This window comes from Homo sapiens, chromosome 9 (assembly GCF_000001405.40).
Source record: "Homo sapiens chromosome 9, GRCh38.p14 Primary Assembly".
NCBI classification, from domain to species: domain Eukaryota; kingdom Metazoa; phylum Chordata; class Mammalia; order Primates; family Hominidae; genus Homo; species Homo sapiens.
Genome location: NC_000009.12, coordinates 7,298,976 through 7,317,865, shown reverse-complemented (window position 1 = coordinate 7,317,865; position 18,890 = coordinate 7,298,976). Strand labels below are relative to the sequence as shown.

Genomic DNA, 18,890 nt, shown 5'->3' with positions numbered 1-18,890 from the left:
AGTTGTCTCCTTTGCTCTTCTCTCTATGCTTATGGGTTTATATATATTTTATTCCTCTATAATTGTTTTCATGGGGTTTGAGAAGGGAGAGAAAATTAGTCACATGCACTCAGTCTTCAGGCTGCCTTTTCACAGGTATTACTTCCAGTGTTGAGGGAATAGATCAAGAATTGAAAGCAATAAGGGAGCGCCCAAATATGGCCCTATATATTACAAACAGTTGTATCCACAGTTCTCAGAGCAGGGGAGCCAGACAGCAGTGACTCCCTTTAGTGCATGGTAAGAACCTCCACCTTTCCTAGAGGTGGAGGCATGGCCACCCACAACTCTTTTGTACATGCCTGCCCTGACATGGCAAACCCAACCTTGAACCCTCTCAAGTCATCACCACAGCCTCTGCCACAGGGATTGGGAGTCCTCATGCTAAGGGAACCTAACAATCTGGAATTACTGGGGTTGGTATTCAGATAGAACTAACTGTGGCCTCACTTTCCTTTGTAGTTTCTGGCCCAAGCCTCATCTTTAGTTCTGAGCCCACTCAGTAGCCTCCAAGAAGAGCATCAAAGATCCTTTTACGGAACCAACATTGGCCTAAAATTTGAAAGAAGTCAGAGATCGGGTTGGTATAGTGTTTGATGGAAAAGGAGCTGAGTAAACACACTGACAGGAAGAAGGGCAGGCGGCTGAGAGTATGTCAGCCTGTGGGAGCAGGGACCTCGCCATAGGAACAGACAGACAGCAGGAAGCTCTGTGGCAGAGCTCTTTCTAGTTAATTATAAGAGCAGAGGGCCTGGGCAAGGAGAAAAGCCTGAGATAGAGGTGCCATTTTCAGGGGAGTTTCTAAGATACCCTAAAAATAATTTTTTTCTCTTTTTCTCTTTTCCTTTAACCTTTCCACCTCTCTGCTTCCTTTGTTTCTCTTTCCCTGTCTGCATTTTTCATTCTCTTTCCAACATTTTTTTTCTTTCTCTCTCTGTTCCTCTTTTGAAACTTGACAGGATTATTTGGTGCCTGATAAAGATATTCCACACCAACCTCAAGTCCTCAGAGAATATTTTCAACACAGCCATTTCTAGGTCCTGGAAATTAGAATTTACAAAGAAAGTGCTGACAAAAGCCTTAAGTAGGGCAGCCCTGTTCAGCCCCAACCTCATTTAATCAGCTTTCCTAGAGCCAGGCCCAGAAAACAGGATAAACTTCATCATAAAGCTTTTCCCTCATTTTTTACCCACCTACTTCTCATCAACCTATTCATAATGAGCAATAAATGAATCCCGGCCACAAAGCCCCAGACCTGGGCTTAGCATTTTGCTTCACAAAAGACAGAGCTTTCCACATTAATGCCTTTTGCTTTCTGTCATAGACTTCTTGGAAAAGGCATTCTTCTCTATTTTGGGAGAAAAACAAGCCAAAGGGCTTGAGATAGCGAAGATTTAGTGAGTCCTTACTATGTGCAGGCCTCAGCATTTTACATGCATTATCTCATTTAGTTCTCATGGTGACTCTAGGGAAAAGATTCTATTTTTATTCCCTTTTACATATAAGGAACCAGAGACAGAGAGCTATTCACCAAGTTTGAGCAAGAGCACACAGTGAGTGTCTGGTACAGTCAGGACTTGCATCTAAGCATTCTGATTCCCAGGCTCATGTGACTCACTGCACCGAACTGATTTTTTCCTACCCTCTATTCCAATTCTTTGCCACCCCAAACTTATTTCATTTGGTCAGACCAAATCAAGCATATTTAGGGCACAGAGAGCATTCGAACATAGAAAAAGCTTAGGCCTGTTCCCTCCACATATCTCAGCAACCTGCCGCCAACAAACCCAGGTAAGCAACGGCAAGAATTAGCTATACTTTGCTGCACTCCCTTTATCTCACCCAGGGCTGAATTGCAACATCTAATCCTGCTTGAGTAAGAGCAGAGCTTGATACATAAATTTGGAAGTTGTTAACAGATGACATTTGAAACCAAGTGAATAGAGACAGCTGCCCAAACACAGAGGCTAACAGGGCAAGGCAAAGCCTTGAGGAGATAATTTAGGAGGAAAAAGCAAAATTGGGACTATGTAAAGATTAGTGAGCACTAGCAGAGAAGGGAAGATTTTGTTAAATTATAGATTAGCTTCAAGATGGCTGACTACAGACATTGAACACTCACCCTCTCCAGAAAGAACCAAAATTGTGAATAGATAATCACACCTCAAATAGAACACCTAGGAGTGAACACTGGAGTTCAACAGAGAAGTCACAGGAAACACCTGAGGCACAGAAGGAGAAATAGGTAAGCAGCTAGCTTGGCTAGCTTGGTAGGGACACAGAGCAACTCTTATTGTGGAAAAAGTGTAAGAGAGAGATGTTCAGCAGTCACATTCCCACTACAATCTGCTGCAATCCTGACCAAGAGAGAGCTCCTCTATCCACACAAACCCTGGCACTAGCACGGGCAGGTAGTCTAGAGGCCCAAGGGCCCTCTAGCAGACAGATGACTTGTGCTGGCTGGATCACTCACAACCCCAAGACCCAAGCAGCTGCAGCACAGCACCACTGGGAGAGCGTAACTGTCACCAGACAGCATCCTTCCCTGGAAACCACAGACCCCATATCTCCACATTTCTAGAGCCCTGATTGACATCTTCCAGTGTCCACTTGGAAGGCTACAACAGCACAGTGCGGGCTGGACCCAAAGGTTCTGCAGGGTCCCACAAGAAGTACTACTCTCTAGGGAAAGAACAGTGCAACAAACCAAGGAGGCAGCCCCTTGGCAAGGGAAACCACAGCATGTGCTTTCCAGACCCCAAGAGCTCCCTGTCAGGCGGTGAAAAGCAGTCTTTTCCCAGCAGCAACATGGACTCTGTGCTCGGGCTCATAATTGGAGAGTAGACTCCATTGCCCTCTTCCACACACTGCCATGGCAGTTACTGCCACAAGGAGCTCAGGCAGGTGAGTCCCTAGCCCCCACTGGCAAAGTGCACTCTGTGCTTAGACTTGTACAAAAAGACTAGGAGCCCTTTCCCCACTCTACACACTGCTGCAGCTGCAGCTGCCGTTGCTACCATTCGGGGCTAGGGTGGGCAAGCTGGAGGGCTGCCTATATAAGGCTACGAGTGGTGGTAGTGTGGCCTCTGTGCTCAGATTTGTGTGCAGAGGGCAGAGTCCCTTCTCTTCTCTGCACAGTGCTGAGGACACCCCTGTAGACCACCAGGAACCTGAGGTCAGACCTGCCCGGCCTGGCACCCCCCAACCCTAGAACCCAAGCATACTGCCTGAGGACCTGGAGAACACTCCACACATTCTACCACCTCTGGCATCTGTGTACTCCCTCCAGGGTGAAGATGGGCCCACCCAATATGCTGCCAATGACACTGACAATACTCACCCACCCACATGCACCACCCAGGAGCCTGGGGACCATCCTGCTCAGCCCATTGAAGCCACCACCAACACCAGCATGCACCTCTTGGGACCCAGAGGATCATCTTGTCACTGTTACTGACATCACCCACACCACGCCAATTATCCAGGGGCCCAATAATGCACCCACATGACCAGCCTACCGCTGCCACTACTGGCAGCTGAGCAAGCCACTGGATGCCTAAGATTGGCCCACCTGGACCCACTAACACCATTGCCAGCATACGCCACCCTGGGGCCCAAGAACTGGCATGCTCAGCCCTCTGCTGCCACCACTGAAGCCTGAAGACTGGCCCGCCTGTCATCCCAGTCCCCAGGAAAACTTCATCACAGCCTCTACTAATAACCACACCCTAAGCCACTGAGGAAATACCACCAATATTATTTATAATCAAAAAAATCATACAGAGACTACACTATTGCACACACCCAACCAACATCATTGATACATCTTCAAGAAAAATCATCCCCTACACAAGCAAATTCCAAAAAATGGAAGAAGTGACTAATGCACCAGATACACAAATAGCAATGTAAAGACACAACAATCATGAAAAAGCAAGGAAATATGACACCTCCAAAGGAACACAATAATTCTCTAGCAACAGATCCTAATCAAAAATAAATTCATGGAGTCCCAGAAAAGAACTCAAAATTTAGATACCCAAACAGCTCAGTGAGATACAGGAGAATTCTGAAAAGTGACACAAAGAAATCACAAAAATAATTCAGGATATGAATGAGAAATGTACTAAAGAAATATCATCAAAGAGAGTCAAACAGAAATATTGGAGCTGAAGAATTCATTGAATGAAATACAAAACACATTTGAAAGCTTCAACAATTGACTAGATCAAGCTGAAGAATGTCAAAACTTGAAGACAGGTGTTTTAAAATAACTCATTCAGACAAAAATAAAGAAAAGGGGGCTGGGGGCAGTGGCTCACACCTGTAATCCCAGCACTTTGGGATGCCAAGGCGGGTGGACCACCTGAGGTCAGAAGTTCAAGACCAGCCTGACAAACATGGAGAAACCCTGTCTCTACTAAAAATACAAAATTAGCCAGGCATGGTGGCACATGCCTCTCATCCCAACTACTGGGGAGATTAAGGCAGGAGAATCGCTTGAACCCAGGAGGTGAAGGTTGTGGTGAGCTGAGATTGCACCATTGCACTCCAGCCTGGGCAACAGGAGTGAAACTCCATCTCAGTAAATAAATAAATAAATAAATAAATAAGAATTAAAAAGAATGAATAAAGCCTTTGTGATACATGGTTCACCATAAAGTAACCAAATAAATAAATTATCACTTCTCCAGACAGCAAAGAGACCAAAGAAGAGTTCAATAGCCTTTTTAATAAAATAATAGATGAAAACTTCCCAAGTTTATCAAGAGATTTAAACATCCAGACACAAAAGGCCCAGTGATTCCCAAACAGATAAAATGCAAAAAGTTCTTCTCTGTGGCACATTATAGTCAAACTGTCTAAAATCAAAGAAAAAGAGAATTCTAAAAACAGCAAGATCCTCTAGTGGGACAATAGGGAAATGAAAAGAGGAGAGAGAGAGAAAAAAAAAACAGCAAGAGAAAAGCACCTAGTCACCTATAAAGAAACCCCCATCAGACTAACAGCAGAATTCTCAGCAGAAACTATATAAGCCAGGAGATAATAGAATTACATATTCAAAGTACTGAAAGAAAACAAACTGCCACCCAAGGATACTATAACCAGCAAAATAATCTTTCATAAATGAAGAAGAAATAAAGTATTTTCAAACAAACAAAGGTTGAGAGAATTGATTAGCACTAGACCAGGGAAGAAATGCTCAAGAGAGTACTGAACCTGGCAGAGAAAGGACAAGAGTTACCATCGTGAAAACACATTAAAGTCTAAAACTCACTGTTAAAGCAAAAACACAAATGATGAAAAGATCCAAATGGTACCACTATAGAAAACCACTAAACCACAAAGGCAAAAAATAAAAGAAAATGAAAGGAATAAATGATATACAGAACAACCAGAAACCAATAAACAATATGACAAGAACAAAACCTCACATAGGAATAATAACCTTGAATGCAAATGAATTAAATTCTCCACTTAGAAGATATAGACTAGCTGAATGAATTAAAAAAAAAAAAACACACAACCCAACTATATGCTACCTACAAGAAAGAAAATTTACCTGTAAAGACACATACAGACTAAAAGTAAAAGAATGGAAAAAGATATTCCACACAAATGAAAACCAGTAATGAGCAGAAGTAGCTTTACTTATATTAGATAAAACAAACTTTGAATCAAAAACAGTATAAAAAAGGACAAAGAAAGTTATTATATAAGGATAAAGGGATCATTTCAGCAAGAGGATATAACAATTCTTTTTTTTTTGTTGGCGGGGGGGCCAGGAGTTCAAAAAAAATAACAGGCTGGAATATAGTGGGCAATCTTAGCTCACTGCAACCTCCACCTCCTAGGTTCAAGTGATTCTCATGCCTCAGCCTCCTGAGTAGCTGGGACTACAAGTGTGCACCACAATGCCCAGCTAATTTTTTTATTTTTTAGTAGACATGGGGTTTTGCCATGTTGGCCAGGCTGGTCTTGAACTCCTGACCTCAAGTGATCTGCCTGCCTCAGCCTCCCAAAGTGCTGGGATTACAGAAGTGAGTCACCATGCCCAGCCATAACAATTCTAAATATATATGCATCCAACACCAGAGCACCCAGATTGATAAAGCAAATATTAACTAGATCTAAAGAGAGAGAGAGACTCCAGTGCAATAATATCTGGACTTCAACACCCCACTCTCAGCATTAGACAGATAATCTAGACAGAAAATCAACAAAGAAACATTAGATTTAAATTGGACCTTACAGCAAATGGACCTAATAGACATTTACAGAACATTTTATCCAACATTGGCAAAATACACATTTTTCTCAACAGTACATGAAGCATTTTCCAAAATAGACCATATGTTAGGCCACAAAGCAAGTCTCAACAAATTTTTGAAAATCAAAATTATATCATGTGTCTTCTTAGACCACAATAAAACTAGAAATTGAAACTAAGAGGAACACTGGAAATTATAAAAACATACAAATTGAACAACATGCTTCTGAAGGACCAATGGGTCAATGAAGAAATTAAATGTCTGGAAACAAATGAAAATGGAAATACAACATATCAAAAACTGTGAGATAAAGCAAAAGCAGTGCTAAGGGGGAAGTTTATAGCAATAAATGCCTACATCAAAAAAAGAGAAATATTTCAAATAAACAATCTAATGATGTACCTCAAGAAACCAGAAAACTAAGAACAAATCAATGGAAAATCAGCAGAAGAAAAGAAACAATAAAGATCAGAGCAAACGTAAATGAAATAGAGACTGATAAAAATATAAAGGATCAATTAAATAAAAAGTTTGTTCTTCACAAAGATAAGCAAAATTGATAAACCTCTAGCTAGACTAACCAAGAAAAGAAGACCCAATAAACAACTGATACCACAGAAATGCAAAGGATCATCAGAGGCTCTTATGAACAACTATATGCTAACAAACTGGAAAACCTAGAGGAAATTGATAAATTCCTACACAAATACAACCTACCAAGATTGCATGAGGAAGAAACCGAAAACCTGAATAGACTAAAAACAAGCAGCAACATTGAATCAGTAATAAAATACCTCCCAACAAAGAAAAGCTCAGGACAAGATGGATTCACTGCTGAATTCAGCCAAATGTATAAAGGATAACTGATCTGGTTTAGCTGTGTCCCTGGACTCAAATCTCATCTGAATTGTAGTTCCCATAATCCCCATGTGTCATGGAAGGGACCAGGTGGAGATAATTGAATCATGGAGGCAGTTTCCCTGAACCTGTTCTCGTGATAGTGAGTTCGTTCTTATGAGATCTGATGGTTTCATAACGGGCTTCCCCCTTCACTGGGCACTCATTGTTCTCCTTCCTGCTACAATGTGAAGAAGGGCATGTTTGCTTCCCCTGCCACCATGATTGTAAGTTTCCTGAAGCCTCCCTAGCCATGCAGAACTGTGAGCCAATTAAACCTTTTCCCTTTATAAATTACATAGTCTTTGTTATGTCTTTATTAGCAGTGTGAGAACGGACTAATACAACAACTAATACCTATCCTCCTCAAACTATTCCAAAAAGTTGAAGAGAACAGAATTCTCCCTAACTCATTCTATGAGGCCAACATTACCCTGATACCAAAACTGGACAAGGATACAACAAAAAAATGAAACTACAGGCCAATATCCCTGATGAACATAGATGCAAAAATTCTCAACAAAATACTATCAAACTGAATCCAACAGCACCCCAAAAAGATAATACACAATGATCAAGTGGGATTTGTAGCAGGGATGCAAGCATAGTTCAACATATATACATCAATAAACAAGATACACCACAGCAACATAATGAAGGGCAAAAAACAAAAATTTAACACCCTTGATGATAAAAATTCTCAACAAAATGAGGTGTAGAAGAAACATAACTCAAAATAATAAAGGTCGCATATGACAAAACCACAGCTAATATACAGAATGGGGAAAAGTTGAAAGCCTTTTCTCCAAGAACTAGAACGATATAAGGATGCCCATTTTTACCACTTCTATTCAACATAGTACTACAAGTCCTTGCCAGAGCAATCACTGGATTGCTCTGGAACCCACCCCTGATAATTCTTCGTAGGTTCTTTTCTATTTTCCCTAAGTGTCAGCCGGTCTGAGAAATAAAGGGAAAGAGTACAAAAGAGGGAAATTTTAAAGCTGGGTGTCCGGGGCAGACATCACATGTCAGCTGGTTCCGTGATGCCCCCCCAAGCTGCAAAACCAGCAAGTTTTAATTAGTGATTTTCAAAAGGGGAGAGAGTGTATGAATAGGGTGTGGTCACAGAGATCACATGCTTCACAAGGTAATAAAATATCACAAGGCAAATGGAGGCAGGGCAAGATCACAGGACCGGGGTGAAATTAAAATTGCTAATGAAGTTTCGGGCACGCATTGTCATTGATAACATCTTATCAGGAGACAGGGTTTGAGAGCAGATAACTGGTCTGACCAAATGTATTAGGCAGGAATTTCCTCGTCCTAATAAGCCTGGGAGTGCTACAGGAGACCAGGGCTTATTTCATCCCTTATCTACAACCATAAAAGACAGACATTCCCAAAGCAGCCATTTCAGAGACCTCCCCTTGGGAACACATTCTCTTTCTCAGGGACGTTCCTTGCTGAGAAAAAGAATTCAGCTGTACTTCTCCTATATGCTTTTGAAAGAAGAGAAATATGGCTCTGTTCCACCCGGCCCACAGGCAGCCAGACTTTAAGGTTATCTCCCTTGTTCCCTGAACATCGCCGTTATCCTGTTCTTTTTACAAGATGCCCAGATTTCATATTGTTTAAACAATTTGTGCAGTTAATGCAATCATCACAGGGTCCTGAGGCAACATTCATCCTCAGCTTACGAAGATGACAGGATTAAGAGATTAAAGTAAAGACAGGCATAGGAAATCACAAGAGTATTTACTGGGGAAGTGATAAGTGTCCATGAAATCTTCACAATTTATGTTCAGAGATTGCAGTAAAGACAGGCGTAAGAAATTATAAAAGTATTAATTTGGGGAACTAATAAATGTCCATGAAATCCTCACAATTTATGTTCTTCTGCCATGGCTTCAGCCAGTCCCTCTGTTCAGGGTCCCTGACTTCCCACAACACACCACAGCAACATAATGAAGGTCAAAAAAACAAAATTTAACACCCTTGATGATAAAAATTCTCAACAAAATGAGGCGTAAAAGAAACATGTCTTAAAATAATAAAGGTCGCATATGACAAAACCACTGCTAATACACTGAATGGGGAAAAGTTGAAAGCCTTTTCTCCATGAACTAGAACAATATAAGGATGCCCATTTTTACTACTCCTGTTCAACATAGTACTAGAAGTCCTTGCCAGAACAATCAGACAAGAGAAATAAATAAAAGGCATTCAAATTGGAAAAGAGAATATTTGCAAACTGCTCATCCAACAGGAGGCTAATATTCAGAATATAAAAGCAACTCAAACAACTCAACATTAAAAAATAGTAATAATAATCCCCTTAAAAATTAGCAAAGGACTTAAATAGACCTTTCCCAAAAGAACACATACAAATGACCAACAGTTACGTGGAAAAAAGGCTCAACACCACTAATCATCAGGAAAATGAAAATCATATCATGATACACTATCACATATGATATATGATATGATATAGATAATTAGAATGGCTACTATTAAAAAGAAAAAATATAGCAGATGCTGATGAGGATGCAGAGAAAAGGCAACTCTTATACACTGTCAGTGGGAATGTAAATTAGCAGAACCACTATGTAAAACAATACTGAGATCTCTCAGCAGTGAACAATCTTACTACTAGGTATTTATCAGTATATCAAAGGGTTCCCTTACCTCCATGTTTATTGCAGTACTATTCACAATAGCAAAGATATGAATTCAACCTAAATGTTCATCAACAGACAAAGAGATAAAGAAAATGTGGTATATATACGCAATGGAATACTATTCAGCCATAAAAAATTGAGTCTTGTCATCTGCAGCAACATGGATGAAATGGAGATCATTGTGTTAAGTGAAATAAGCCAGGCACAGAAAGACAAGTACTGCATTTTCTCACCCATATAAGGGAGCTAAAAAATTTGATCTCATGGACATAGAGAATAGAATGATAGATACCAGAGATTCTGAAGGATGAGTGTATATGGGAGGGGGATGAAAAGAAGTTGGTTAATGGGTACCAACATACAGCTATATGGAAGAAAAAAGTTTTAATGTTTGATATCAGACTAGTGTGACTATACTTAGCAAGAAAACTTTGTATACTACCAAGTAACTAGAAGAGAGGACTTGATGTCAACACCTATAAATAATAAATATTTAAGATGATAGATACCCCAAATATTCTGACTTTATCATTACGTATTTTATGCAAGTAAAAAACACTCATATGTTCTCCATAAATATGTAAATATTATGTATCAATAACAGTAAAATAAATAAATAGAAAATATTCTAAATAACTACACACACAAAATATATACAGATTACAAAATTATGTGAGGAGTTTTGGCCCACAAGGTCACTTGGCACAGTACCAGGCACCTAGAACACATTCAAAAATATTTGCAATGTTGAATTAAAGTGAAGCAAAAAGTAGGATAAAACTGAAAAGAAATCATTGTATGTAGTAGTAACTGGCACCTCAGCGGTGAACTTTAAAGAGAACTTTCAGGCTGGGTGCTCATGCCTATAATCCCAGCACTTTGGGAGGCCAAGGCAGGTGGATCACCTGAGGTCAGGACTTCAAGACCAGCCTGGCCAACATGGTGAAACCCCATCTCTACTACAAATACAAAAATTAGCCAGGCATGATGGTGGGTGCCTGTAATCCCAGCTACTCAGGAGACTGAAGAGAGTCACTTGAACCCAGGAGGCAGCAGTTGCAGTGAGCCAAGATCACACCATTGCACTCCAGCCTGAATGACAGAGCGAGACTCTGTCTCAAAAAAAAGAGAGAGAACTTTCAATGGAATGATGGAAAGAAGTAAGATTTTTAGGAAATAAAGGAATGAAGAGAAAGCAAAAAAAAAAAATGAGGTGGCAAAGGTGAAGATTGAAGTTTTTATTAAAAGAATGGAAAATATATCAGACTGTTGGGGGATTGATTGAAGGGAATAATGATATTTGCTCTCATTTATTGAGTTCCTACAACATGTAAGAATGGATGAAGAGATGAGTGAATGGGAAGACCATGAGCCAGAGCTAGAATCCTCGAGAAGAATGTCTTTAGCTTGTGGGATGAGTGGTGATTTGAGCAGGGCAGGGAAACCAGTCACTATGAAGGGGAAGTGTGGCATCAGAGGGTAAGGGGATGCAGAATGTCTAAGGTAGACTAAAGTTCTAGAAGCTGCAGAATGATGCAATGAAAACAGCCATAAACTCCCCGACTTAGTCCCAAGACATAGGGTACATGGGAGAAAGAGAAGCTTTCATTTAAGTGAGTTGCAAAGCATGTGATATTTGCAGTGGAGAAAATGGCTTTAGCTTAAGTGAAAAGATAGAGGGTGTTTAAGAAGAAAGGGAAACAACACAGGAATTTGTTGACAACGAAAGGAAGGAAGTTTAAAAGACAATGGAAATGATTAGAAAATGGTTGTATTAATCAGGGTTCTAGCTAGAAATAGGCAAAATACTCGAAGTACCAACAATAGATGATGACGTACCCAACAACCAGCATTAGTGGGGAACCATTACCCTATACACTTCATGGGGCAAGGAAAACAAGTGGTGTTAGTAAACCTAGTAAGAGCTGAAACCATGAAAGAGGGACCACCCAGTAGAAACTGTGTTGTAAAGTGTCGCAGCCACTGTGAGAACCACAGCAGCACAGGAAAGGAGTAGCTGGGAACACTCCAACTCCTCACTCTCCTCCCATAGACTTGTCTCCTACTGATGCCTCCATCAGCTGAGCCCGACCAGAAGATGAGCCCAACCAGGTGATGCTGTCCAGAGTCACTGAAGAGAATAGGTGAATACTGGGTGTGCAGGGGAGGTAGGTTGAGTAGAGAACATCCAGAGTCAGGGAGTGAGCAGAAGGGAAATATCTAGCTGAATGAGAGGGAAAGTTTAGGACAGAATAGCTATAACGGGAGCATGAGGTAAAGTAAAGAAATGGAAAAGTAGTGGAGAGAGGGCCTGTGAATGGCTAGAGTTTGTGTATAATGGCTTAAAAGAACTCTCAGGGGCTCTTGGTCCACAATGAGGACTGTTTATGTGGATTTGTGTGTACATATTAATAGCAATTAGAGCCAAACTTGTTCATAGGCAATGCTTGGTAACATCTAAGTTGGCTTCCCAAGAAATCCCAGTTGTCTGCTTATCCATACTGCCCCCCAGAAACAGTTTGCTTAATACCAGAAATTTCTGCAGTAGGAAGCAAACCCTTTTGTTCTCTACATAAGTTTGGATGTGAGACTTACATTTAATTCAATAAATATGTATAGGTGCTGAAATGACAAAGTTGCTGTTCTATCAAAAGCAGAACCTCCTTGGGTAGACAATGCAGTAACTTAAACTAATACAATTTCTGACCTAAGCTCAGAGATTCTCAAGAAATCACCTTTTTTATAAAATGGAACAAGATCATGTCTTTTGCAGGAACAGGAGTGGAGCTGGAGGCGATTATCCTTAGCAAAGTAACACAGGAGCAGAAAACCAAACACTGCATGTTCTCACTTATAAGTGGGAGCTAAATGATGAGAACTTACAAACACAAAGAAGGAAAGAAACACTGGGGTCTACTTGAGGGTAGGAGGAAGAGGAACAGAAAAATCACTATTGGGTACTAGGCTTAATACCTGGGTGATAAAATAATCTGTACAACAAACCCCTGTGACACGAGTTTACCTACGTAACAAACCTGCACATGTACTCCCAAACCTAAAATAAAAGTTAAAAAAAAAAAAAAAAGAAATCAGCTTTGGATAGGAGAGTGTTTGAGGGCACTAGCATGACTAATGGGGACATTGTGAGACAGAGAATGAAAGCATCAATTGTCAAGGCAGTTGGCCCCAAAATAAACTGCCTTTTTCAGAGCTACATGAGTATGTGTACGTGTACGGGTGTGAGGTTGTGTGTGCACTAAATCCCTCACCCATCCACCCGTCCATTCATCCACCTGTCCATTCATCCACCTCCATTTCTTGCCTTCCTTTCCATCCCTGTATTGCACCAGTTGAATGTGCTGATCAAAGGAGGAAACTGGCTATACTTTTATGTTCTTCAATATCGCTTTTCCTTGTTTTCCTTCCATTTCCCAGCAGTCTCATCACAGAGGATTCCAGCATGAGAAATATGACATAACAATAGCATCACACAATGGATGCCTCATTACGTCCCACCTCTCCTGTGTCTCAGACACGACTACTACCTCTCTTTCCTGACCTCACCCCACTCTCTAATTCCACTTGAGATACCTGCATTTTTGAAGAAATGTTTTTGTTTTCTTGTTTTTTGGAAGAAGGACAAAACAAAGCTCTAGGAGGGTTGGTGTGGGGGAAGCCCCAAAGAAGGTGATTAATATCATTGCTGCTAATTTTCCACAAGCACTTGTCGGCACAGCAGTGAGCTAACTCAGACAGTGCCAAAAGTAATCTCGAAATTATCTGGCATCTCACTCCAGCAATAAAACACAGATTTATGTGGTGCAGCCCATAATAGAAAATGGAATAAAATCATCCTAGATGACTAAATCTCGATGTTTCTGGTCGAGGAGCTTAATAACTGAACTCTTTATACCCCCAGGGACTGCTCAGCCATTTGTTTTCATTTCTCTGACATTTCGTCAGAGTCATATAATCAGATGTGCTGCCCTGCTGCAGGGTCTGGGCCTCAGAGACGAGTGTGTTCCACAGTGGGGTCAGGAGACCCGCTTCTAGGTACTGACCTGTCACCCCTAACTCTGGGAACTGAAACAAATTGCCCCGGTTAAAAACACTCTGATTGTCTTGCATTCCACTTTGGAAATTCTTCCAGGCTCACTGAGACTTCACCTCTCTACTCCTCCTGGTTTCTCTGCCCCATTTGGTCCTGTATCTTGGTTCCTGGTCTTCAGTTAGCCATTTTGGGGTATGGTATAGGCTCCTTCTGCAAGAAAACCCTTCAAAAACCTAAATTACCTTTAGAACTATTTTAAATAGGTTTCATCATTGACGTAATCTTGGTGTGTGTGTGTGTCCTCTGCTACAAAGTGGACTTGTTTCTTTTTCTCTTCTTTTGCTCTACCTTCTTCCATGTTTCCTTCCCATGTCTTTTCCCTCTCCCTTCTTCCTCTCCTTCCTTACCCCTGACAATTACATGAACCTGTGTCTGACACCCACAGGCATTTCTTATTTGCTTGGTGACACTTAGGAATAAAGAAGACACTCATTGCTCTGCCCACAGTGTCATAGTCTTCCTGGATGCATGCAAATGACATGAAATCATGTCATTTGTAGCAACATGGTTGGAACTTGAGATTATTATTATAATAATCTCAAGTGTCAGTTCTAAGTTGTGTTAAGTTACTGAGGAACAGTTTAAAGCAATTTATAGCTGTAGCATGAGCACACATGAGAATGAAATGGTGACATGGAGAAGTAAGCACAGCTCCAGCTAAGGGATACATTTTGGAGTGCAATATAGAACATATGCAGAGGAAAATTGTGAAAACATTTGAAGGCATTTCTGTGCATTCATCAAGATTGTTCTTCTTGTCCTCAACTTAAGAATAGATTGCAAAACCCTACTAGAATAACACTGAGGAAAAGCAGTGCTATCCTCTAGCAGCAACAGGTGATAGGAATATGTCTAACTTTTGGCACTGACAAGGAGTGCAATTATAAATATGGACAGGGCAAATCACACCTGTAGACACTCAGCTGATGAAGACTCCCCTGCAAAGCTTAAACATAGTACAAATGGGTTATCTATGCACAGGAAAAGAAATCAACATTATCAGAGGTATGCCTGCCTCCCATGTTTATCACAGTACTATTCACAATAGCAAAGATATGGAATCAACCCGTGTTCATCAATGGATGAGTGAATAAAGAAAATGTGCTTTATGTACACAATGGAATACTAGTTAGTCATTCTAAAGGATGAAATCATGTCATTTATAGCAACATGGTTGGAACTTGAGGTTATTATCATAAGTGAAATAAGCCAGGCACAAGAAGACAGATATCACATGTTCTCACTCATATGTGGGAGCTAAAAAATTTGATCAGATAGAGGAAGAGAGTGGAAAGATAGCAGAGACTGGGAAGGGTGAGTAGAGAGGAGTGAAGGCGATAAGAGAAGTGCATTAAAGGATACAAACATACAGTAAAATGGAATAAATTCAGTGTTTCATAGAGTAAGGTGACAATACTTAACAAAAATATTTGGTACTCAGGTGATGGACACCCTAAATGCCCTGACTTGATTACTACATATTATATACATGTAACAAAACTTCACATGTGCCCCATAAATTTGTACAAATTTAAAAAAAGAAGAAAAATTAAAAATAAAATACAAATTTTAAAAACATACTGCAGGCCGGGCACAGTAGCTCACGCCTATAATCCCAGCACTTTGGGAGGCCGAGGCGGGCAATGTCAGGAGTTCAAGACAAGCCTGGCCAACATGGTGAAACCCCGTCGCTACTAAAAATACAAAAATTAGCTGGGTGTGATGGTGTGCACCTGTAATCCCAGCTACTCGGGAGGCTGAGGCTGGAGAATTGCTTGAACCCGGGAGTCGGAGGTTGCAGTGAGCCGAGATTGCACCACTGCACTCCAGCCTGGGCGACAGAGTGAGACTCCATCTCCAAAAACAAACAAACAAACAGGCAAAACATAGTGCAAATGCATCCAGGAAGATTAAGAATCCAGTAGTCCTTTATCAGTCCTTGTTCCCAAATGAGACTTTTGATCTACCATGGATCCACGTCAGAGGTAGACTGAGGTGAGATCAGGAATAACCATAAATGCACAGAAAAAGAAAGTCTAGTATTAAAGAAGGAAAAAGATACCCCCTTGGTGACACTGGTTAAGCATTTCCTTGTTTGGAGAATTAACACCGAAATCACACTGATGTTAGATATGTATATGTATCGTAGCTTGGTGTTGAATATATATTGTAGCTTGGTGTGTGTGTGTGTGTGTGTGTGTGTGTGTGTGCGCGCGCGCGCGCGTGTGTGTGTGTGTGTGTTATATGCACATACACATATACAGACTTCCCTTGGTATCCATGGAGGATTGATTCCAGGACCGCCCTCAGACACCAAAATGCACAGATGCTCAAGTCCCTTATATAAAATGGTATAGTATTTGCATATAACCTACGCACATTCTCCTACCTAATTACATGGTTGAAACTTTCAGCCCCTATCTACCAAGGAGGTCCCCAGAAGTGAACAGGGGCTGGAGATCAGGGTCAATCATGTGGCCAATAATTTAATTACATGCACCTGCTGTCTTAGTTGGCTTGGCTGTCACAAGTACATACCATATACTGGATGTCTTAAGCAACAAAAACTTATTCTCACAGGAGGCTAGGTACTTCCAGATCAAGGTGCTGGCCAATTTGGTTGCTGATAAGGGCTGTCTTCCTGGCTTGCAGATGTCCACCTTCTTGCTATGTCCTCATGTGACCTTTCCTCAGTGCACGTACACACAACACACACAGAGCCAGACAAAGAGAGAAGGATCTTTCTTCCTCCTTTTTTAAGGCAACTAGTCTCATCAAGAAGGCCCCTCTCTCACAACCTGATCTAATCCTAATTACCTCCCAAATACCCCATCTCCAAATATTATCAAATTGAGGATTAGGGCTTCAACAGGTGAATTTACATGGCGGGGGACAAAAATATTCAGTCCATAACACTTGAATGTTATGTAATGAAGTCCCATATAAAAAACCCTAAAACAACAAGATTTGGGAAATTTGCGGGTTGCTGAACACAAGGATGTGCTGGGAGGGTGACGTGCCTGGAAATATCATGTAGCACTGTGCCCCATCCCTCAACTCTGCTCACAGACCTTGTTGCCCTATGTAACTCTTCACCTGGCTGTTCATTTGTATACTATATAACAAATCAGTAACCATAATTACAGTGCTTCCCTGAGCTCTGTGAGTCATTCTAGCAAATTATTGAACCTGAGAGGTGGTCATAGGAACCCTCAAATTTGTGGTTCATGAGACAGAAGTACAGACGGCCCCTGGGACTTACATCTGCTGTCTGATATGAGAACAGTCTGCACCCTTAACCCGTAGGATCTGATGCTCACTTCAGATAGTGTCAGAATTGAATTGTAGGACACCCAACTGGTATGGGAGAGTTGGTACTGGAAAAACATCACTAACAGGATGATGTTTTGCCTTCTGATTCACTAGTATAATAGGAAAAATTCTAAGATGATCTGAAGACTTCCACTTCTGATCTGCATGCCCTGTATAATCCCCTTCCTTTAGTGACCTGTGAATATGGTAGGATTTTACTCCAGTGATTAAGTTATGTTATTTGGCAAAAGGGAAGGGATTTTTATATATGTAATTAAAATTCTTAATCAGTTGATTTCAAGTTAACCAAAAAGGAGATTGTGCTTTGTAAGCCTGACCTAATAAGGAAAGTCCTTTAAAAGAGGGTCTAGAAGTCAGAAACCGAGGAGGTCAGAGATTCTCCTCCTGGCCTTGAAATCATAAGCTGCCATGTTGTGAGAAGGCCCATGAGGCAAGAAACTGAGTGGCTGTAGGAGCTGAGGGCAGCCCCAGCTGAAAGCCAGCAATACAGCAGGGGCCTCAGTCCTACAACACAAGGAATTGAGTTCTGTCAACAACATGAGGGAACCTAAAAGAGAATCCTGAGATCTAGAAAGCAATTCAATCCAGCCAGTACTTTGACTGCAGCTTTGTGAAATTCTAAGCAGAGGACCCTGCTAAGATGTGCACTGGGCACATCTTAGCTGAGTCCTGACGACTCCTGTGAGTCATTTTAACCTGCTTCATTTGTGATAATTTGTTAGGTAGTGATAGAAAACAAATATAGCCACATATAATACACCCTGATCAATTTGTCATTCTCCTACTTCACACTTACAATACTGCCCAAGTCTTTTCATGATGTCCTCTTCAACAGGGAGCATAACCAAAGCTTTTGACAGGTGTTCAGCAAAATGATTTGAACATTGTATCTGATTGATAACTGTGTTGCTGAATTCATATTATACTGTCAAGGTTTACAAGAGAGCATTAGGAAAATACTACTATGATTTACCTCAGCGCTTTAACACATTCTACTCTTAAAATAGGTATTCCTGGCCAGGCACCATGGTTCACATCTGTAATGCCAACACTTTGGGAGGCTGAGGCAGGTAGATCAATTGGGACCAGGAGTTCAAGACCAGCCTGGACAACATGGTGAAACCCCGTCTCTACTGAAAATACAAAAATTAGCCAGACATGGTGACACATGCCTGTTGTCCCAGCAACTCAGGAGGCTAAGGCACAAGAATCACTTGAACCCAGGAGGTGGAGGTTGCAGTGAGCTGAGATCGCATCATTGCACTCCAGCCTAGGCTACAGAGCAAAACCCTGTCTCAAAAAAAAAAAAAAGGCATTCCTTGTTATCTGATGGCTTCATATCCACCATTCCACTAAAGCAAGAAATAAATTTCATATACATTTCCTGAAGCCGCACGGTTTGGAATTTTCAAATTTTCTGAGTGTTTTTTGGACCCTATCACAAGGTAATAAAAGAGCAGCTATGACTCAGTTAAAAATGTTCACCCAAATTGCAATTCTAACTTCTTTGTTGAAGAGGAAACCAGCAGCTTCTGCATAGTGTCCTGGTTTAATAGG

General features: G+C 41.0%; 1 long non-coding RNA gene across 2 annotated transcripts in view; it reads right to left on the bottom strand.

The window, feature by feature from the left end:
* Positions 1-13,298, bottom strand: part of LOC105375970 (uncharacterized) — a 42,693-nt gene extending 29,395 nt beyond the window's left edge. For both annotated transcript variants that reach the window (XR_007061414.1, XR_929460.3), the window contains exon 1: positions 13,183-13,298. This is a non-coding gene — a long non-coding RNA (uncharacterized LOC105375970). The remainder of the gene's footprint in view (positions 1-13,182) is intronic.
* Positions 13,299-18,890: the final 5,592 nt, after the last annotated feature.